The sequence below is a fragment of the Homo sapiens genome, chromosome 11 (genome assembly GCF_000001405.40).
Source record: "Homo sapiens chromosome 11, GRCh38.p14 Primary Assembly".
NCBI classification, from domain to species: domain Eukaryota; kingdom Metazoa; phylum Chordata; class Mammalia; order Primates; family Hominidae; genus Homo; species Homo sapiens.
In genome coordinates this window covers 9,382,807-9,406,339 of record NC_000011.10, presented here as the reverse complement: position 1 = coordinate 9,406,339, position 23,533 = coordinate 9,382,807, and the positions used below count along the sequence as shown (strand labels likewise).

General features: G+C 43.1%; 1 protein-coding gene across 1 annotated transcript in view, besides 2 other annotated features; it reads right to left on the bottom strand.

Moving 5' to 3' along the window:
- Window positions 1-21,688, bottom strand: part of IPO7 (importin 7) — a 63,476-nt gene extending 41,788 nt beyond the window's left edge. Inside the window, exons 1-2 of the mRNA NM_006391.3 lie at window positions 21,493-21,688; window positions 2,969-3,050 (exon numbers count right to left, since the gene is read on the bottom strand). Of these exons, the coding sequence (NP_006382.1) occupies window positions 2,969-3,050; window positions 21,493-21,576 (166 nt within the window). The 5' untranslated portion in view covers window positions 21,577-21,688. The remainder of the gene's footprint in view (window positions 1-2,968; window positions 3,051-21,492) is intronic.
- Window positions 6,822-6,987: a silencer, noted in NCBI's record as "fragment chr11:9420900-9421065 (GRCh37/hg19 assembly coordinates)". NCBI's record gives its function as "represses an EF-1alpha promoter that drives an FKBP-Casp9 reporter gene in an ReSE screen in K562 erythroleukemia cells {active_cell/tissue: K562}" and the evidence as "EXISTENCE:reporter gene assay evidence [ECO:0000049][PMID:32094911]".
- Window positions 21,171-21,686: an enhancer, noted in NCBI's record as "NANOG-H3K27ac-H3K4me1 hESC enhancer chr11:9406201-9406716 (GRCh37/hg19 assembly coordinates)". NCBI's record gives its function as "activates a minimal SCP1, AML or CMV promoter by ChIP-STARR-seq in naive H9 embryonic stem cells {active_cell/tissue: H9 hESC(naive)}" and the evidence as "EXISTENCE:reporter gene assay evidence [ECO:0000049][PMID:30033119]".

Below are 23,533 nucleotides of genomic sequence, written 5' to 3'. Positions count from 1 at the left end.
GATAAATGAGACTTGAATATATATAAAAAAGAAACAAGACCAGGCACAGTGGCTCACGTCTTTGATCCCAGCACTTTGGAAGGCTGAGGCGAGAGGATCACTTGAGGTCAGCAATTCAAGACCAGCCATAGTGGCTAACGCCTGTAAAGCTCAATACTTTGGAAGCCGAAACCAGCCGGGGAAACACAGTGAGACCCCGTCTCTACTAAAAAAAAAAAAAAAAAAAAAAAAAAAAGACCAGCCTCAGCAACATAGTGAGATTCCATCTCTACAAAATAAAATAATTAGATGGGTGTAGTGACACATGCCTGCAGCCCCAGATGTTTGGCAGGCTAAAGTAGAAAGATTATTTGAGCCCAGAAGTTTGAAGATTCAATGAGCTATAACTGAGTCACTGCACCCCGGCCTGGGCAAGGATCAAGACCCTGTGGAAGACAGGAAAGGAAGGAAGAGAAGGAGGGAAAGGAGGAAGGGAAGGAAGAAAGGAAGGGAAGGGAGGGAAAGGAGACAATAAAAATTACCCTTTTCTATTAAATTAGAAATATTTACAAAAAGATTTACTGCTGACCAGGGAGTTCAGTCATTTACATAAAATTGTTTGCTTTTAAAGAAGTCATGGCCAGGCATGGTGGCTCACGCCCATAATCCTAGCACTTTGGAAGGCCCAGGAAGGCAGATCACTTGAGCTCACAAGCTTGAGACCAGCCTGGACAATATGGCAGGACGCCATCTCTACAAAAAATACAACAATTATCAGGGCATGATGGTACGTGCCTACAGTCCCAGCTACTCAGGAGGCTGAGGTGGGAGGATGGCTTGAGCCTGGGAGGCAGAGTTTACAGTGAGTCAAGATGAGGCTACTGAGGGCCGGGGGCGGTGGCTCACGCCTGTAATCCCAGCACTTTGGGAGGCAGAGGCAGGGCAGATCACGAGGTCAGGAGATGGAGACCATCCTGGCTAACACGGTGAAACCCCATCTCTACTAAAAATACAAAGAATTAGCCGGGCGTGGTGGCGGGCGCCTATAGTCCCAGCTACTCGGGAGGCTGAGGCAGGAGAATGGCGTGAACCTGGGAGGCGGAGCTTGCAGTGAGCCGAGATCGCGCCACTGCACTCCAGTCTGGGCGACAGAGCAAGACTCCGTCTCAAAAAAACAAAAACAAAAAAAAGATGGAGCTACTGAATTCTAGCCTGGGCAATACAGCCAGTTTGTCTAAAAATAATAATAATAATAATAATTCCTATCTGCCTAGCAGAGTCCAGGTTATTTAATTAATTAATTTAAAGTGATAATTTAAATTCATTTATTTCCTGAGTACCTACACTGTACTAGGCAACATTTTAGTCACTGAAAATGAAAATATACTGTTAACAAAACAGACTTCAGACTAAATTCTATTTCTAAAAATTTTAACAGTTTACTGCATATGGCATATTATGGCTAATTATTTAGCCATTAAAATATGAATCTGAAGGCCGGGCGCGGTGGCTCACGCCTGTAATCCCAGCACTTTGGGAGGCCAAGGCAGGCAGATCACGAGGTCAGCAAATCGAGACCATCCTGGCAAATACGGTGAAACCCCGTCTCTACTAAAAAATACAAAAAATTAGCCGGGTGTGGTGGCGGGCGCCTGTGGTCCCAGCTACTCAGGAGGCTGAGGCAGAAGAACGGCGTGAACACGGGAGGCGGAGCTTGCAGTGAGCGGAAATCGCGCCACCGCACTACAGCCTGGGCAACAGAGCGAGACTCCGTCTCAAAAAAAAAAAAAAAAAAAATCCGAAGACCGGAACTATGTAAAGAAAAGGGAAATGCTCAGTATACAACATTAAGTGAAGTGAGAAAACAATTTTTTTTTATTTTTTATTTATTTTTTTGAGATGGTCTCTCACTCTGTTGCTCAGGCTGGTGTGCAGTGACGCCAACTCGGCTCACTGCAAGCTCCGCCTCCCAGGTTCACGCCATTCTCCTGCCTCAGCCTCCCGAGTAGCTGGGACTACAGGCGCCCGCCACCACGCCCGGCTAATTCTTTGTATTTTTAGTAGAGACGGGGTTTCACCGTGTTAGCCAGGATGGTCTCGATTTCCTGATCTTGTGATAACCCCGCCTTGGCCTCCCAAAGTGCTGGGATTACAGGCGTGAGCCACTGCACCCAGCCCCAACAAAATTTTTAACAAAATAGGTGCAGGGGGAAAGAACAGCAAGAAATAACACAAAAATGTAATCTGTTTTTCTAGAATGATGAAATTATTGGTACTTTGTATTTCCCATAACAAAATTATTACATCTGCAAATAAATTAAAAAGAAATGAAAAGGCTGGGAGTGGTGGCTCACGCCTATAATCCCAGCTACTCAGGAGGCTAAGGCAGAAGAATCGCTTGAACCTGGGAGGCAGAGGTTGCAGAGAGCCGAGTTCGCACCACTGCACTCCAGCATGGAGGACAGAGTGAGACTGCCTACAAAAAATAAAAAAAATTAAAAATGTACACTACATTATTTTTTACAGACTAACATAATATTCAGAAAAGTAGTATGCCACATTTTCAGACTATTTGATACTGAGGGAAGTGGCTCAATATGTTGAACAGGAACTAAAAATAGTATAATACTTTTTAAACTGTTAAAACGATAAAAGCAAAAAGGTGGTAAGAGATGACTATATAAACAAACATGTTTGAGTCTTATAATCACCCATCAGGGAAGGACTCTAAAAATACATAGAACCTTTTAATAAACCCCATCAATTTCTATTTGAAGCTTCTATTTTAATTCAACTAAATGTCAAATTATTCCTTTAAACTCTGCCACCAGATATCAAGGTACCTGATGTTAGCTGTAAACACTGAAGGTAAACAAATTACCTGGGGGGAAAAAATTGCCAAAGGGCCATCCCAAGACACTTCTGCTATTCGATTATGAACCTTTTAAACAATAGATTACATACACTCAATATAATTTAGGAAACTTGCCTGCCTGTCTCACAGGTAAATCCAGCTGTTCCGACATAGTAATCTGGAGCAGTGTTGAGACAAAATTCAGAGACTTGTGTGCCTACAAAGAAAAAAAGTCCATTTTAAACTTCTGCAAATAAATATACTTTAAAATTACAGATCAAAGAGGCTCCAATACATTTCCATTGCTTGGCTTGCACAAAAGGCTCTTCATAACTGGTTCCAGTCTTATTTCTCATCACTCCCTTATATTGAACTTTAAGGAATTTGATGACTTAAATTCTAAAACTTTTTGGATGTTTTCATTAGCCTGTATAGCACTGCACTTCCCATTTATCCCAACTAGCATTCTTTTTTCTTTAATTTTTGAGACAGAGTCTCACTCTGTCGCCCAGGCTGGAGTGCAGTGACGCAATCTTGGCTCACTGCAACCTCCGCCTCCCCAGGTTCAAGCGATTCTCCTGCCTCAGCCTCCCGGGTAGCTGAGACTACATACAGGTGCACATGACCACACCCCGCTAATTTTTTTTTTTTTTTTGAGACAGTCTTACTGTCGCCCCCAAGGCGAGAGTGCAGTGGCGTGATCTCGGCTCACTGCAACCTCCACCTCCTGGGTTCAAGCGATTCTCCTTCCTCAGCCTCCTGAGTAGCTGGGACTAGCGCTACCATGCTCAGCTAATTTTTGTATTTTTTTAGTAGAGACGGGGTTTCACTGTATTGGCCAGGCTGGTCTCGAACTCCTGACCTCGTGATCTGCCTGCGTCTGTCTCCCAAACTGCAGGGATTACACGTGTGAGCCACTGTGCCCAGCCCTAATTTTTTATATTTTTACTAGAGTCGGGGTTTCACCATATTGGCCAAGCTGGTCTCGAACTCCTGACCTCGTGATCCACCCGCCTCGACCTCTGAAAGTACTGGGGTTACAGGCGTGAGCCATTGCGTCTGACCCCCAACTAGCATTCTTTTTTTTTTTTTTTTTTTTTTTTTTTTGAGACACAGTCTCGCTCTGTCGCCTGGGCTGGAGTGCAGTGGCATGATCTCGGCTCACTGCAACCTCTGCCTCCTGGGTTCAAGCGATTCTTCTGCCTCAGCCTCCTGAGTAGCTGAGACTACAGGCACGTGCCACCATGCCCGGCTAATTTTTGTATTTTTAATAGAGACGGGGTTTCACTATATTGGCCAGGCTGGTCTCGAACTCCTGACCTTGTGATCTGCCCGCCTTGGCCTCCCAAAGTGTTGGGATTACAGGCACGAGGCACCATGCCAGGCCCTCCAACTAGCATTCTTAACCTACACTGGTGACAGCAGCTCAAAAACAATACCCTCTGTGACACCTGTTTCCTCTTTTAAGTAATTTCTCCATAGAAACATTTCATTAAATGGCCAGACACATACGAAATCAATAAAAATGAACAGTTTAGTCCAGGCATGGTGGCTCTGGGAGGCCAAGGCAGGCGGATTGCAATGAATAGTTTGGGGGTAGTGTCCAAGGTGGTAATAATGTTATTTCTTGATATGACTGCTGTTTTATACAAGAGTGCTCAGTCTGTGAAAACTGACTGTACCTTTATGACCACCTTTGTGTATACATGTTACATTTCAAAAGAAAAGTTAAAAATCAATAGCTTTGAACATACAATAAAACAATAGACTATATAATCATAATTTAATACATTTATATGAATATGCAATAGAATTTCCCACATTTTAAAATTTTTAAATTTTCCACATTTTACATTATAGACCTGGATCACTTTAATTAATGGTACAAAAAGGTTACATATTCCTAAATTTGTCATATTTGCTTCTGATTTTTTTTTTTTTTTTTAATTTTTTGTTTGCTTTGTTGCCATTGTTGTTAGGTATCAGGTCTCGCTATGTTGCCCAGGCTGGTCCTAAACTGCTGAGCTAGGCTCAGGAGCTCCTGCCTTAGTCTCCTAAAGTGCTGGGATCACAGGCATGAGCCACCACACTTAGCCTGCTTCTCATTTAAAGAACTGAACATTTTATCTTGAAGTGCAGGGCAAAACAATCTTTTAAAAATTAACATTCAAGTCAAATCCCTTCTTCTATATTTTCTGTTTCATTCTCCTTTGTCCCAATATAACCACCACTTATACTGTCATCTTTTAGCTCAAGTATTTTTCTACACATGTTCACATGAACAATATTTTGATTTTTATTTTAGTATCTTCTTTTTTTTTTTTTGAGACAGAATTTCACTCTTCTCGCCCAAGCTGGAGTGCAATGGTGCAATCTTGGCTCACGGCAACCTCCACCTCCCAGGTTCAAGCAATTCTCCTGCCTCAGCCTCCAGAGTAGCTGGGATTACAGGCACATGCCACCACGCCCAGCTAATTTTTGTATTTTTAGTAGAGACGGGTTTTGCCATGTTGGCCAGGCTGGTCTCGAACTTCTGACTGCAGGTGATCCACCCGCCTCGGCTTCCTGAAGTGCTGGGATTACAGGGGGGAGCCACCTGCGCCCAGCTATTTTAGTATCTTCTTACAGACTTTACCCCACTCTGCAAACACATTCTTATAGAGAATTTTCCAGCTGGGTGCAGAATTTTCCTTTGAATATAATTTTCCATTGAATGTAAAAAATTATTTCACATTAGAATCTAGACTTTATTCTTTCAATCACTCCAAAAATTACTTATTTAGTAGGCCGGGCACAGTGGCTCACGCCTGTAATCCCAGCACTTTAGGAGGCCGAGGCGGGCGGACCACGAGGTCAGGAGATCGAGACCATCCTGGCTAACACAGTGAAATCCCGTCTGTACTAAAAATACAAAAAATTAGCCAGGTGAGGTGGCAGGCGCCTGTAGTCCCCAGCTACTCTGGAGGCTGAGGCAGGAGAATGGTGTGAACCCCGGGGGCGGAGCCTGCAGTGAGCCGAGATCGCGCCACCGCACTCCAGCCTGGGCGACAGCGAGATTAGGTCTCAGAAAAAAAAAAAAATTACTTATTTAGGTGTTTGTGCTATAAGACATTATGCCAGCAGCTGAGGCTACAGGGTTGAATATGACAACCGGGCTCTATGACCTCATGGCAACTTACAGTGTTGTCAAGAAAAACAAGATAACCAAATAGATAACTGCAATAAAATACAGTCGGTGCCCCCATATCTGTGGGTTTCAAATCCATGAATTCAACCAACCACAGATGGAAAATGTTTGGGGGAAAAAAATTTTAAATAACAATACAACAATAAAAATAATACAAACAGTACTTAATATAAGTACAGCAACTATTTACGTAGCATTTACATTGTATTAGGTATTAAAAGCAATCTAAAAAGATTTAAAGTGTTCAGGGGATGTGTACAGGTTATAAGCAAATACTACACCATTTTATATTAAGGGACTTCAGCATCCATGAATTTTGATATCCGTGGGGGTCCTGGAACCAGTCCCTCAGTTACCAAGGGAAAAGTGTGTAATGGAAGAAGTAACAGTATTGAAGAATCAAAAGGAGGATCCCCTAATACAGAAGACCTGAACAGAAGGAGTTAGGTGGATGAAAGGGAGGTATTGACCCTTTCCACTACCCTAGATGTGAACATTGCCAACCATTGTCACTTTACTTAAACACCCTTCCACCTATGCCACTCAGCATACCATTTATTCTGGTCTCTCTCCTTCTCAGGCTCCTTTACTGATTTCTCATCCTGTTTAATCTATAAATGCTAGAATTCACCAGGACTTGGTCATAGGCCATCTTTCTTCTCCCCAGATGATCTCATCCAATCACTATCTTTACAAAGCATAATTTTCCACTGAAAATTATTACTCTACTTCCCTGCACCATTTCTCCCAACCTCTCATCACTATCCTCACAGTAATCCTCACCACCTTCCTCTTCATCAACCCAATTTAATATATCAAGTCCTGTCAATTCTATACCCAAAATCCTTCTTTAAAATGCTGCCGGGCGCGGTGGCTCACGCCTGTAATCCCAGCACTTTGGGAGGCCGAGGCGGGTGGATCACCTGAGGTCAGGAGTTCAAGACCAGCCTGACCAACATGGAGAAACCCCGTCTCTACTAAAAATACAAAATTAGCCGGGGTGGTGGTGCATGCCTGTAATCCCAGCTACTCGGGAGTCTGAGGCAGGAGAATCGCTTGAACCCGGAGACAGAGGTTGTGGTGAGCCGAGATTGTGCCATTGTACTCCAGCCTGGGCAACAAGAGTGAAACTCTGTCAAAAAAAAAAAAAAAAGCATCCATTTTCTCCATTCCCATGAACACCAACCTAGTCCAAGTGACTATCATCCCTCTTAATTTAACTATTTGTGCCCCCAATCATTCTCCATTTAGCAGCCAAAGATCTTTTAAAATTATAAATCAATCCCCTTTAAGCAAACCTTTTAACAAGCTTTCTACTGCACCTTCCAAGGTCCTACATGAAGACATCTTGTCCCTGCCATTTTCTTCAGCCTCATTTTTAAAAACTTTCTCAACACGCTCCACTCACTGCCCCACCTACCAGCCTTTAGGTTCTTTCAACAAGAAAGAAACATATTTAACAGATACAAAATCACAGCTAGATAGAACTAGTGAGTTCTAGTGTTCTATAGCACTGTAGGGTAACCATAATTAACAACAACTTATTGTATATTTTCAAATAGCTAGAAGCAGATTTTCAATGTTCCTAGCCCAAAGAAATGATATACATTTGAGATGAATATGCTAATTACCCTGATTTGATCATTACGTTGTTGTATACATGTACTGAAACACCACTGTATCCCATAGATATGTATTATACAATTATCATGTATCAATTAAAAAATAATAAAAGCAAAAAGAAACACATGACTTCATTTCAGAGTCTTTGTACATGCTGTGTCTTTCTACCTACAACATCCTTCTCTTGCATGCTCCACCAGTTAACTGGTTCACAGCTTCGCATTCTTTGGGTTTCGGCTTAAACATTATTTCCTTACAGAAGCCTTTTCTGCCTGATCACTCAAGCTAAAGTAGGGCTCCCTATTGCTCTCATAACCATTATTTTTCTTCATAATGCTTATTACATATTTGTTTACTATATTTGTAGATGGGTCTTATGCCTGTTTCTCCTATTAATTAGACTCTAAGCCCCACTGAGTAGGAACTATACTGTTTATATCCCCAGTTCTTCATATGACACGTGGCATTTAAGCTATTAAAAAAATTCACTGAATGAATTGGAAGAGCCAAGAAATAAATGCCTTGGAAGATGTGATTGCCTAGGGGCAGTGTAGAGTGAGAAAGGTTTTTATATTTAAGGGACAGACAGATGAGCCCAAAGGACACTACTATCCACACTACTAGGGCAGTTTTCAGACCATTTACATTACAGTATGTATCTTCTCTCCTGCATCAAATCATGAATTCCTGGAAAGAACTGCTGCAATCAGATAGTCTTGGTTGTAAATCTAGGTGATGCCACTTCCTAGAATGCTAAGCCTTCAACAAGTTGATTCAGTAAATCTAAGTCTCAATTACAAAATAGGAATAATAAAATCTACTTCACAGGATGGCTACAAGGAGTATATAAAACAACACAGAAAATATCTTAGCAAATATCAAGACATAACAAATTTTATATCCTTTGTATATCCATATTCAGTAGACTCTCACCTTTCTCAGAGTATGCTCTAACATCAGTAAGGTGTAAACGATGTATAGCCAAGTTACCCTTTAGTTCCTTAAATCGCCCACAAAGCACACATACATGGTTTTGCGTATACAATCTCTCTTGAGATCCCAACACTGAAGTTTTTCCTTAACTTGAAACAGACTACTTTATATGATTAGAACCCCAGATTAAACTGTTGGTTTATGTTTGGAAGCCATGTTGGAACAACAAAAACTGCCCAGCACAGTGGCTCACACCCGTAATCCCAGTGCTTTGGGAGGCTGATGCAGGAGGATCACCTGAGGTCACGAGATCAAGACCAGCCTGAGCAACATAGCAAGATGCTACCTCTACAGAAAATTTAAAAAAATTTACAGGCACCTGCCACCGTGCCCGACTAATATATATATATATATATATATATTTTTTTTTAAATTATTTTTAGTAAAGACGGGGTTTCAACATCTTGGCCAGGCTGGTCTTGAACTCCTGACCTCGTGATCCACTGCGCCCAGCCTAAAAATTATAATAGCTGGAAGTGGAAGCATGCGTTTGCAGTTCGAGGCTGCAGTGAGCTATGATCACACCACTCCACTCCAGCCTGGGCAGCAAAGCAAGACCTCAACCCTAAACAACAACAAAAACCACCACTGTTTTTGTTGGCTGGACAGATGTATAGCAACATTAGGTGTGTTAAGGCAAGCAAATCTAACCTATAGTAATAGAAGTCAGAAAAATAGTAACTTGGAGGAGAAACAGTACTGAATAGGAAGAGTATCACGGAAACTTTCTAGGCCAATGAAAATGTTACATGTCTCTTGGTCTGGGTGCTGGTTACCCAGATTTAACTTAAAAAAACAAAACTGAGACTATTTTTACCCCAACTTTCACAGCAGCATTACTCATAATACTGTAAAAGTGGAAACAACCTGTATGCCCATCAACTAATGAAAGTAAAATGTGTCTTATCGATACATACAATAGAATGCTATTCGGCAATTTAAAAAATGAAATACTGATACATGTTACAACAATGTATGAACTTTGAAAACAATACTGTATGAAAGAAGCCAGTCACAAAAGACTACATATTGTATGATTCCAATTACATGAAATGTCTGGAATACACAAATCTACATAGACAGAAAATAGGATTGTTGCCTAGGGCTAGGAATGGGGTCGGGGCGGAATGCGGAGTGACTGGTAAGATATGAATTTTCTTTGTGGGGTGATGGAAATGTTTTAAAGATTGGGTGATGGCTGTACAACTGTGAACATACTAAAAGCCACTGTATTGCATACTTTAAATGTGTGAATAGTTAAATCGACAACACTGAACTATGAAAATAAGCACTTACGACTTTGTTTTTGAGATGGAGTCTCGCTTTGTCTCCCTGGCCGGAGTGCAGTGGCGCAATCTCGGCTCACTGCAACCTCCGCCTCCCAGGTTGAAATGACTCTCCTGCCTCAGCTTCCTGAGTAGTTGGGATTACAGGGGCATGTGCTGCTACGCCCAGCTAATTTTTGTATTTTTAGTAGAGGCGTTTTCACCATGCTGGCCAGGCTGGTCTCCAACTCCTGACCTCAAGTGGTCCACCCACCTGGGCCTCCCAAAGTGCTGGGATTATAGGGGTGAGCCACCACGCCCGGCCCAACACTCAACACTTTATTAACCTTATTACCTTCAAAAACATATAAGTATAAATTTTAAAAGTGCAATGGATGAAAAAAAGCATAACTTTCAGCAAGGCATGGTGGCTCACGCCTGTAATCCCAGCACTCTGGGAGGCTGAGACGGGTGGATCACCTGAGGTCAGGAGTTCGAGACCAGCCTGACCAACATGGTAAAACCCCATCTTTATTTAAAAAAAAAATACAAAAATTAGCCAGACGTGGTGGCGGCTGCCTGTAATCCCAGCTACTTGGGAGGCTGAGGCAGGAAAATCACTAGAACTTGGGAGGCAGAGGTTGCAGTGAGCCGAGATTGCGCCATTGCACTTCAGCCTGGGGAACGGAGTGAGCCTCCGTCTCAAAAAAAAGCATAACTTTATAACTTTCAGACAACTAAGCTGAAGTAAAAATAAGAAAGTATATTTCTGTTAGCGGGGATATAGCACAGGCAATCTCAACCAGGGACATCCATCTAGCTGCCCCATACACATTTCTACCCACCTGAAATCCTTAAGACATGAAGACTTGTATTCTCCCAAAGAAGGTAACAAGTGAGGGCCGGGGGCGGTGGCTCACACCTGTAATCCCTGCACTTTGGGAGGCCAAGGCAGGCAGATCACAAAGTCAGGAGTTCAAGACCAGCCTGGCCAACATGGTGAAACCCCATCTCTGGTAAACATACAATTAACCGGGCACAGTGGGGGGCGCCTGTAATCCCAGCTACTCAGGAGGCTGAGGCTGGAGAATGGCTTGAACCTGGGAGGTGGAGGCTGCAGTGAGCCGAGATCGTACCACTGCACTCTAGCCTGGGCGAAAAGAGTGAAACTCCATCTCAAAAAATAAAAATAAAAATAAAAATAAAATAAGCTTAATTAAAAATATCACTAGTTTCAATCTTTATCACAAAAACCCTTTAAAATTTGGGCAATTATGGTATTATTGTCAACAATTTGGCAAACATCAATACAGGCCTCAGAAGATGCTACAATAGATTTTTTATATGAGTCAAAATATAAATATAACTTCTGGATGCTGCCCCTAATTATATGCCCAGTAGTCCCCTTCTCAAGCTCCTGGATTCTAGCATAGAACTGAAGCACCAAATGAGTCATTATACATCATTAATTAGGGCTAAAACTCCTAATACTCTAGTTTTAAAAGCTCTTAACCATAACACAAAATCACCTTCCTAGACATCTTTGAACCTTCTCATTATCTGTCATCAACCCAGATAATTTCAATAGTCACACTTAATTCATCTCATCAAAATTCTTCAACAAACCCAACTCCATTCTACTTACTAGTACTGACAATGCGCCAGACACTATGGAGAAAAAAAGATCAGTATGAAGTTATGTTGGGAGTTTAATTCCAATTGGGCTAATAAGTAAAATTTCAAGTTAGAACCTAAGGGACGTAAACTCAGAAATCAGAGAAGACTTTGAACAGTGAAAGATAAAAATGAATTGGTAGGTTGTGGCCAAAAAATTTAAAGAGTATGAATTTTTTGTGAAGGGTTATACATGATCAGATTTATGCTATAGGAAAATGAGTTCTTGAAGCACTGTGAAGAATGTAATGAAGAATGTAATTCAAGGAATGATGACTATAAAACATGAATGAAAAACTATTAGTACAACAGGTAGTAGCAACAGGCCTCAAAAACCTAGGCCCCTATTCTACTATACAGCCAAGCTTCCCTGCTGCTTTCTCTGCCACCCAAAATAAGCTCAACTTTAAAAAATAGAAAAAGAAAAACGCACACTCTCACATCAACGAATTTCCCAATATGGCCACCCTTTTAACTTACAATCTTATCCCTGCCCCCTTACTAGCATTCCACTCACTAACACTGTAATCAGAAATTGCTTTCCCCTCTGACTGCGTGGAAAATTAATAATAATTTTAAAAATTAAAAGGCTGGGGGCGATGGTTCACGCCTGCAATCCCAGCACTTTGGGAGGCCGAGGAGGGCGGATCACGAAGTCAAGAGATGGAGACCATCCTGGCCAACATGGTGGAACCCATCTCTAAAAATACAAAAATTAGCTGGGCGTGGTGGCGCACGCTTGTAGTCCCAGCTACTTGGGAGGCTGAGGCAGGATAATCACTTGAACCTGGGAGGCAGAAGTTGCAGTGAGCCGAGATAGCACCACTGCACTACAGCTGGGAGACAGAGAGAGACTGTCTCAAAAAAATAAAAAAATTAAAAGAAAAAAATTAGAAATTACTTTTCCAAGGTTACTGATACTTTAATGCATTTTCCCAGAAAGTCTTCAGTTTGTTTAACCTCTCTCATTTAGGAGTATCAACACCCCTTTCTTTTTTCTAAAAATTTTTTACTCATTTTCAAAAGTAATTCATGCTCTTTGGTAGAGAATTTATTAAATCTATGTAAGAAAAAGGAAATTAGGCCTGGTGTGGTGGCTCACGCCTGTAATCCCAACACTTTGGGAGGCCGAGGAGGGTGGATCACCTGAGGTCAGGACTTCGAGACCAGCCTGGCCAACGTGATGAAACTCCTTCTCTACTAAAAATATAAAAAAATTAGCCGGACGTGGTGGTGGTTGCCTTGTTATCCCAGCTACTAGGGAGGCTGAGGCAGGAGAACTGCTTGAACCCAGGAGACGGAGGTTGCAGTGAGCTGTCACTGTGCCACTGCACTCCAGCCTGGGCAACAGTGAGACTCCGTCTCAAGAAAAAAAGAAAAAGAAAAAGGAAACTAACCACTAACCACAAGCAACCTTCTTAAAATTATCTTTCTTGGCTTCTCTCTTACTTTTATGCCCAAAATCTCCAGTCTGCTTTTTCAGATGTTTATCAAAGTACCCAAAATAGGCATGGTTGAAAGTTTAGCCCTCTAGTCCATCCCATACCTTTGGATCATACTACTGTAATCACCTGCCTGCAGAAGAATATCACTTTTCCATTGCTGCTTTCTCTCCTAAACTTCAGCTCCACATTCCAATTGCCTGCTAGACTTTTTCTACTTGATGTTTACCAGCTCCTCAAACTAGACACTCTGTATGTAACTCATGTCTTCAAAATCAGTTTTCCCTCTGGACCCACATTTTCCAATGTAATCACTAATGTCAGTATCTTTTAAAACATACTCTTCAAACCCGTAACTTTTTTTTTTTTTTTTTTTGAGACAGAGTCTTGCTGTCGCCCAGGCTAGAGTGCAGTGGAGCAATCTTGGCTCACTTCAGCCACTGCCTCCCAGGTTCAAGCGGTTCTCATACCTCAGCCTCCTGAGTAGCTGGGATTACAGGCACGCAACACCATGCCCGGCTAATTTTTGTATTTTTAGTAGAGACAGGGTTTTGCCATGTTGACCAGGCTGGTCTTAAACGCCTGACCTCAGATGATCCACCCACCTTGGCCTCCCAAAGTGCTGGGATAACAGGCCTGAGCCACCGCACCCGGCCAAAACTGTAACTTTGTATTATTTCTCTCCATTGAAATATAACCAAAGAGACTTTCAATTAGCTACTATACTTCAGACCATTTTTAAGGAACACAGGAGGTAGAAGAATCCCGTGCTATCAGATTTTTACATTAAATACAACCAGGTAATTTCAAGAGCCAAGGAACTTCTAACCTTTCTTGTTACTAAAGCATTTGACAAGCCGGGCACAGTGGCTCACACCTGTAATCCCAGCACTTAGGGAGACCAAGGTGGGCGGATCTCGGGAGTTCGAGACCAGCCTACCAACATGGAGAAACCCCGTCTCTACTAAAAATACAAAATTAGCCGGACGTGGTAATGCATACCTGTAATCCCAGCTACTCAAGAGGCTGAGGCAGGAGAATTGCCCGAATCCGGGAGGCGGAGGTTGTGGCGAGCCGAGATTGTGCCATTGCACTCCAGTCTGGGCAACAAGAGCGAAACTCCGTCTCAAAAAAAAAAAAAAAAAAAAAAAGAATTTGACAAAGGCAAATATGACATCTACCTTGGCTACATGAAATATAAGGCATAGTGAGGTTAAGTCATTATAGTCGTAGACTCAGGACAAGGCTAAGGCTCTTCACTGCGTCCCTCTGCCTTTGTTAAAAAAACAGTAATAAGCCAAGTGCAGTGACTCGCACCTGTAATTCTAGCACTTGGGAGTCAAGGCTGGGCAACAAAGACAGACCTCGTCTCTACAAAAAATAAAAAACTTAGGCAGGTGTGGTGGTGCACGCCTGTAGTCCCAGCTAGTTGGGAGGCTAAGGCAGGAGGATAGCTTAATCCCAGGAGAGTCAAGGCTGCCGTGAGCCATGTTCATACTACTGCACTCCAGCCTGGGTAACAGTGTGAAACCCTGTCTCAAAAAATAATAACAATAAAAATAATTTTAAAATATTATTTTTATGCTTTCCAACTAGGAAGTTTTATGTTATTTTATTTTTTAAGATGGAGTCTTGCTGTCGCCCAGGCTGGAGTGCAGTGGTGTGATCTCTGCTCACCGCAAGCTCTGCCTCCCAGGTTCATGCCATTCTGCCTCAGCCTCCTGAGTAGGTGGAACTACAGGCACCCACCACCATGCCCAGCTAATTTTCTGTATTTTTAGTAGAAATGGGGTTTCACCATGTTAGCCAGGATGGTCTCGATCTCCTGACCTCATGATCCACCCACCTCAGCCTCCCAAAGTGCTGGGATTACAGGCGTGAGCCACCATGCCCGGCCAGAACTTTTATTTTATTTTTCTTTTTTTGAGGCAGAGTCTTGCACTGTTGCCCGGGCTGGAATGCAATGACGTGATCTTGGCTCACTGCACCTCCGCCTCCCGGGTTCAAGTGATTCTCCTGCCTCAGTCTCCCAAGTAGCTGGGATTACAGGCACCCACCACCACACCCGGCTAATTTTTCATATTTTCAGTAGAGACGGGGTTTCACTATGTTGATCAGGCTTGTCTCGAACTCCCGACCTTGTGATCCGCCCACCTCGGCCTCCCAAAGTGCTGGATTACAGGCGTGAGCCACCGCATCTGACCTCCAACTAGGAACTTTAAAAAAAAACTTTTTTATTAGAAATCATTTAGCAGCCGGGCGCTGTGATTCATGCCTGTAATCCCAACACTTTGGGAGGCAGAGGCGGGTGGATCACCTGAGGTCAGGAGTTCAAGACCAGCCTGGCCAACAAGGTGAAACCCCATCTCTACCAAAAATACAAAAATTAGCCAGGAGTGGTGGCGGGCGCCTGCAGTCCCAGCTACTCGGGAGGCTGAGGCAGGAGAATTGCTTGAACCCAGAAGGCAGAGGTTGCAGTGAACCAAGACTGCGCCACTGCATTCCAGCCTGGGTGACAGAGCGAGGCTCTGGCTAAAAAAAAAAATTTTTTTTGTATGTTGCCCAGGCTGGTCTCAAACTCCTGGACGAGCGATCCTCTTCCTGCTTTTACCTCCCAAAGTGCTGGGATTACAGGCGTGAGCCACTGCGCCCAAACTCTTTCAGATCTTTAACAAGCTATATCATTGAATAACTTGCTATCTAACAGCCGAAGTATCCAGGGACTTTCCTTCTCCCAAATTCAGAACAGTACTTCAAAATATTCCTGGTGAAGGAATGTTATCTAAACTACAGGCTACTCTGGTCTTCCTAAAATATTTTGCTTAATTTCTAAACATTCCAAATTATCTTACAAATATGCCATTATTTTACACTTTTCCAGACCTAAGATTTTCATTAAATACTTTTAATAAAATGGAATCAAATGAACCATTTATAAGTAAGGTATATCACATACAGCAGTAATAGTTAACCTTTTGTGACAATCCCAAAAGTGATCCAGGGTAGTGTGAGTTAAAAAAAAAAAAACACACACACACACAAAATATCAAGAAACTTACCAAAAGCAAGATCACTTTTTCATATAAAGCAAGTGAGAAAGTAGCACTGCTGCCTGTACATATAAAACCATTAGGCCGGGCACGGTGGCTCAGGCCTGTAATCCCAGCACTTTGGGAGGCCAAGACGGACGGATCACCTGAGGTCAGGAGTTCGAGACCAGCCTGGCCAACATGGCGAAACCCCGTCTCTACTAAAAATATAAAATTAGGCCAGGCGCAGTGGCTCACGCCTGTAATCCCAAGACTTTGGGAGGCTGAGGTGGGCAATCACCTGCAGTGAGGAGTTCAAGACCAGGCTGGCCAACATGGTGAAACCCCGTCTCTACTAAAAACACAAAAATTAGCCGTGTGTGGTGGTGCATTCCTTTAATCCCAGCTACTCGGGAGGCTGAGGCAGAATTGCCTGAACCCGGGAGATGGAGGTTGCAGTGAGCCGGATGGCACCAATGCACTCTAGCCTGGGCAAAAAGAGCGAAACTCCACTCAAAAAAAAAAAAAGGTGTATATACATATATAACCATTATATACCATATTGAGCTTAGGAACTAAGAGTTTAAATGTCTCCTGGGTAAACCCTCTAATTCCACTTACAGCATTTTTCTTGACTGCGAATATAACAGGGGAAAGACTATTGATGCGGAGATCATATCCACCTTAGCCAAAATCAGATCTAATAGTTTCGTCATCCAAAACTTACATGTAGCTTTATTATAGTACTGACCACATGTATTGTATGGGCCAGTGACGTGGTGATTATGGAGCTCTAGAAAGGCAGTGATCATAAATTTCTCTGCATCTAACTACTTAGCTCAGTGCCTAGCACACAGACATTTGCTGTTACATGAACCAGACTGGGAATTATCCTTCGGAATGAGTATTTAATAAAAATCTTCCTGGCATTATATTTAAAAACACCGGCTGGTGTGGTGGCTCATGCCTGTAATCTCAGCACTTTGGGAGGCCAAGGTGAGTGGATCACTTAAGGTCAGGAGTTCGAGACCAGCCTGGGCAATGTGGCGAAACCCCGTCTCTACTAAAAATACAAAAATTGGCCAGATGTGGTGGCACCTGTAGTCTCAGTTACTCAAGAGGCTGAGGACTGAGAATCGCTTGAACCTGGGATTGGAGGCTACAGTGAGCCAAGATCATGCCACCGCACTCTAGCCTGGGCAACCGAGTGAGAACCTGCCACAAAAATACTAATAATAATAATAATAAATTTTAAAAAATAAATAAAAGAGCTAAAGCCTATACTGTTATTTATTAATATTATAACAGGAAGTCAGTCATAAAGCCTATTACTGGGAAATCAAGGAATAACAATAACAAAAAATAACAATTCATGACCTCAAGAAACTTAAAATTATAGTGGGGAGAAGAAAAGTTAAGTAAAATTAGGCCAGGCGTGGTAGCACGTGTCTGCAGTCCCAGCCACCTGGGAGGCTCAGATGGGAGGACGCTGCTTGAGGCCAAGAGTTCTAGGCTGTAGTGTACTATGTAGTGCAGTGGAGCCCACTGCACTCCAGCCTGGGTAACATAGCAAGGCCTTAGCTCTGAAAAAATTAAAAATAAGCCTGGGCAACACGGTGAAACCTTGTCTCTACAAAAAATACAAAAATTAATTGGGCATAGTGGCACATCCCCGTAGTCTCAGCTACCTGGGAGGCTGAAGTGGGAGTGTTGCTTGAGCCCGAGAGGGAGAGGCTGCAGTGAGCCATGATGGTGCCACTGCACTCCAGCCTGGGTGATGGAGCAAGACCCTGTCTCAAAAAATAAATATAAATAAATAGGCTGGGCATGGTGGCTCATTCCTGTAATCCCAGCACTTTGGGAGGCCGAGGTGGGCGGATCACAAGGTCAGGAGTTGGAGACCAGCCTGGCCAACATGGTAAAACCCCATCTCTGCTAAAAATACAGAATTAGCCAGGTGTGGTGGCAAACGCCTGTAATCCCAGCTACTTGGGAGGCTGAGGCAGGAGAATTGCTTGAACCCAGGAGGCAGAAGTTGCGGTGGGCTCATATTGCGCCACTGCACTCCAGCCTGGGCAACAAGAGCAAGACTCCGTCTCAAAAAAAAAAAAATTTATTTATTTATTTATTTTTATTTTTATTTTTTGAGACGCAGTTTCGCTCTTGTTGCTCAGGCTGGAGTGCAATGGTACGATCTCGGCTCACCGCAACCTCCACCTCCCGGGTTCAAGCGATTCTCCTGCCTCAGCCTCCCTAGTAGCTGGGATTACAGGCATGCGCCACCACGCCCAGCTAATTTTGTATTTTTAGTAGAGACGGGGTTTCTCCATGTTGGTCAGGCTGGTCTCGAACTCCCAACCTCAGGTGATCCGCCCGCCTCGGACTCCCAAAGTGCTGGAATTCCAGGCATGAGCCACCATGCCCAGCCAATGTTTTAAATTTAATTAATTAATTAATTTTTTTGAGATGGAGTCTCACTCTGTTGCCCAGGCTGGAGTGCAGTGGCACGATCTCAGCTCACCGCAACCTCCGCCTCCCAGGTTCAAGCGATTCTTCTGCCTCAGCCTCCTGAGTAGCTGGGATTACAAGCATGCGCCACCGCGCCCAGCTAATTTTGTATTCTTAGTAGAGATGGGGTTTCTCCATGTTGGTCAGGCTGGTCTCAAACTCCCAACCTCAAGTGATCAGTCCGCCTCAGCCTCACAAAATGCTGGGATTACAGGCGTGAGCCACCGTGCCTGGCCAAATAAAATTAATTTTAAAAGTAAGCCAAATATGTATGACAAATCAGTGCTATAGAGAAAAACAAGTGAAAGGAGATAGGGAGTATGATGGTCAAGGAACTCCTCAGTGATAAGGAGACATTTGAACAGGGATGGAAGGAAATGAGAGAACAAGTTAGGGGGATAACTATGTGAAAGGAGTTCCAAGGAGTTAAGTGCAAAGACTCTGAGGCAGAAGGGCTATTTTGTTTCGAAACTGTCTATACTATAAACACTTTAATAACATTTACAAATTTTACATTGAGTCAGTGATTATTTCACTTTGTGAAGAGATTCATTCAAATGTCAATGATCTTATTCTTTGGTTCTAAATGAACCAAAACACAGCTTCACTGGAATGAGAGACATCATAGAATAATTCGTTCTTCTATCTTCTCCAAAGCAAGAGCCTTTCAGAAATGTTACTTCCTCATTCTTAACAATATTCAAGACTTGTCTGAGATCTGTCTCCCAAATCAATGTTCTGCCACAAGAAAGTCAAAGCAAAAAATATTTAAATGGAAGAAGGGAGAGGGAGAAGTAGTGTATTAAAATGGAATGAAAGTAAATATACTAATAGAAAATTTACCTTAGGAAGAATATTTAAAAATCTAGGTGTTATAATTGAAAGAAATGTATGAAATGTAAATAGTTAAGGATTACAAAAATAAAGGCCATGTAACAAATTTTCTTTGACAGATTAGCGGTGTTCACTGTTTGACAGTATTCCAAAACAGTAGTTTAATGGTTAAGTAAAAAAGGCATTGAATACTATTTTGATCATTTGTTTATCTTCCAAAAACTAGCTTGTGAAATACCCCAGGTTTCTACTACAAGATGTTAGTGCATATACTAGACATGTAATGTCTATTTGAGGAATAAATGAATTTCAGATTTTCAGGAAGTATTATTTCCCCCATTTTTGTAGAAGCAAACCAACTCTTCAAGTACTCACTTTTAAAATTAATAATTACATGCAAGTATAATTAGTCAAAATAATACGCGATTAGAGCAAAGTCATGGTAGAAATGACCATGACTAAACTTTTAGCTTTTCTAGGCTTGTAACTGCATTACTATTTAATAAGCAAAATAATTTTCAACTTAACCCATGTCTATCACTAAGCAAATCAAAACAAAAAGTGATCCATTGCTCCTTCCATAGTTTGGTAATGGTTCAAAATGGTAATACGGTTCAACTCACTATTTTATATCCAAAAAAATCTAAGCTCCTCCCAAGGTGACTCTGAGTCTAAAAATTTGAACATGTAATCATCACTTTGTGTGGTATAATAATGATCTCATTTACATATAAAATAGATTTAACATTCTGAAATAATTTTACATTTAATTTGTGTAAACTCTGTAGGTAGTCTTCTTGAACTGTAAGTTCCGTGAGGGCAGGGATCTCTAGTGCAGCCCTTTACACTGAAAGTCCAGTTAGTAATATTTCTGCTGTTTCTGGTAAGTCAATATAAACAATGTTTTTAAATTATTTACTTACCAGCTAAAAGACGCATAAAATAGTTGAATTTCTATTTTAAAGTGTGATTTCTTTTTCAGTTAAAAAATGTACACTAAAGTTCAGTAAAGCTGGCAGATTCAGCAGCATGCTGAAGGACAGTTACTAACTGGCAGAAAAGTTACAGCAGCCCTTTTAAGAAGGATTTAAAATACTGATCATTAATACGTAAAAATGCAAAAGTTTAGAAACAAAGAATGACACTGGAGATAGTACAATAAATATTCATGCAATTAAGCTGTTTTCCAAGGAGCGGTCCCCACAAAATATGGGGGAAAAAAAAAACCTTCAGAGAATGCAATATCTGAACTGATAAGGAGCTCAGCATGTTCCAAGGCACTCAGACTTAACATTATCTCACCTGTCTGTCACAGCAACTCTGTGGCGTAATTTTATGAATGGGAAAAACTCAGGATCAAGAGGTTAAGCGACTGGCCCAAGGTCACTCAAGGAATCAATGGTGCAGCTATACCTAGAAGGGTGCACTTCACCTGATCCTTCCCACTACATAAGCCAGCTCCCCGACTGAAGCATTAGGACAGCGGAAAAGCAGGGATCAGACTCTGTGAGTGTCCCGCACTACTCCTATCCTGCCAAGGAGGCGCGGGCTTGCCTTTGAAAGCCTTCCCTAGCAACTCAGCCAGAGAGGAGGAAGTTGTGCCCGAGGCAGGCCACTGATCAGCCCAGCAAAGTGACAAGGATGACAGGCGCAGCCCCCAAAGGACCAGCCGGCATTCCCAGGAGCCCTTCCAAACCCTGCGACGGCGAGACTGGTCTCAGAAACATCTGAAAAACCTCCCAGTAAGTTTCGCCCCCTCCTGGACGTGAGGAACCAGCTGGGAATGAGCCAGAGGTCGGCCAGCCACCCGAGCCAGCCATGTGTCCAACCCGTCACGCCCGCCCCGCCTCAGCCGGCTCCTCATGCCTAGACCGCAGCCAGAGGCCCAGCTCAGGATCCGAAGCAAAGGCAGCCTTGGCTGCAGCCACCACCACCACACCACACCGAGGCGCCCCGGCGTGGAAGTCGCCGTCAGATGTCCGCCCCACCCTCCTGCTGGGACCCTCAACGACGTCGTCCGCGCCTCCGGCCAGGCCCCGGGGGCTCGGCCTGCCACTTCTGCCCACCCGCCTGCCCGCCGCCACCGCTAGCCGGGCGTCCTTACTTCATTGAGCTGGCGCTCCGCGGCCTCACGCAGGGCTGGGTCCATAGTGCCCCGCAGGGCCTCGATAATGGTGTTGGGGTCCATCGCAGCGCGGACTCGGTCAAACCCGGGGCTCGGGTGCTACTGGGCCAGGAATAGCGCCACTCACTGCGCACATGGACCCGCCGCGCTCCGCAGCGGCAACCGGCGCGAAAGGAAAGAGAAGCGCCAAGGCCCCGGATAGAACCTCTTCGCCTCGGCGTGGAGGCGGGAGATGCTCCGGCGACTTCCTGTGGGCGCGCCTGCGGAGCACTTTGGGAGATGTAGTCCACAAACACAGTCCGCAGCCCACGTGGCTGCCTGAGCTGTCGTTCCTACAGACAAGTCTTTCTGTTCAAAAACGAAAAATGTTCAAGTTCCACAAAAAGAAAAGCAAAACAATCAGTTACAAAAGGTTTCACATACTATATCCACAATGTTCATAAAGGGAGTCAGATACAGTGTGTGGTGCAATCGATTGCTAATGGCTGCGTGATTGAAGGAAACTTTCTGAAAAGCAATTTGAGATGTGTTTCTGATAGCCACTAAAATATTTAAACTGCCGGGCGCGGTGGTTCACGCCTGTAATCCCAGCACTTTGGGAGGCCAAGGCGGGCGGATCACGAGATCAGGAGATCGAGAGCATCCTGGCTAACACGGCGAAACCCCGTTTCTACTAAAAATACAAAAAATTAGCCGGGCGTGGTGGCACGCGCCTGTAGTCTCAGCTACTAGGGAGGCTGAGGCAGGAGAATCGCTTGAACCCGGGAAGCGGAGGTTGCAGTGAGCCGAGATCGTGCCATTGCACTCCAGCTTGGGCAACAAGAGCGAAACTCCGTCTCAAAAAAACAAAACGAAACGAAATGTTTAAACTCTGACCCAGTAATTCCACTTATGAGACTTTATCCTAAGGCAATAACACGGAAGATTAAATGAACTTTATGTGTGAAAGGTTTTTATCACATTACGTATTAGTAATTACCAAATACTGAAATCATGGCTTTTTATTGAGTATCCAAATTTTAGTTGGGACTTCATATAAATCACCTCTTAATGCAGAGTAAAAGCATAATCCCTATTAAAATACACCTTCCTGCCAGGCGCGGTGGCTCACACCTGTAATCCCAGCACTTTGGGAGGCCAAGGTGGGCGGATCACAAGGTCAGGAGATTGAGACCATCCTAGCTAACACGGTGAAGCCCCGTCTCTACTAAAAATACAAAAAATTAGCCGGGTGTGGTGGTGGGCGCCTGTAGTCCCAGCTACACTGAGGCAGGAGAATGGCGTGAATCCAGGAGGTGGAGCTTGCAGTGAGCCGAGATCATGCCACTGCACTCCAGCCTGGGTGACAGAGCGAGACTCTATCTCAAAAATAAATAAATAAATAAATAAAAATAAAAGACACCTTCCTAGCCAGGCGTAATCCTCCTGTTGAGGCAGGAGGATTGCTTGAGACCAGAAGTTCAAGGTGACAGCCTGTTAAGATCGTGCCTATGAGTAGCCACTACGCTACAGCCTGGGCTACATAGCGAGACCCCATCTCTAAAAAAAGAGGGAGGTGGGGGAGAAAGAAAGAAAGAAAAAGTCCTCTTTTATAACAGCCAAGAAAAAGTTTGTTTTAGAAAGGTTAAATAACTTACCCAAGGTCACGTAGTAAGAGGTTCAACTAAGATTTCAAACCTAAGATCTTTGTTTTCAAACTTTCCATTGTTTCCACTAAATCACTCTGCCTCTGAAGAGAAATGTTGAACAATATAGGACTGGTTAAGCAAATAGCAAGAATCCAGTAAATTAAATATTTCACAGCCATTAAAAAATATAACAAAAAAGTATTTATGGAAGGATATAGCTTTGTAACATGGACAAAGACTGAAAAGCAAGGTTAGCAAATGAAAATAATTTATTTTCTATTAACAGGATGGTGAGATTTGGAGTAATTTCCTTTCATATCTGTTATTATTGTAACAAAGTTATATAAACAGATATACTTAAAATTAATTATAAGCCTTCAAATACAATGTGT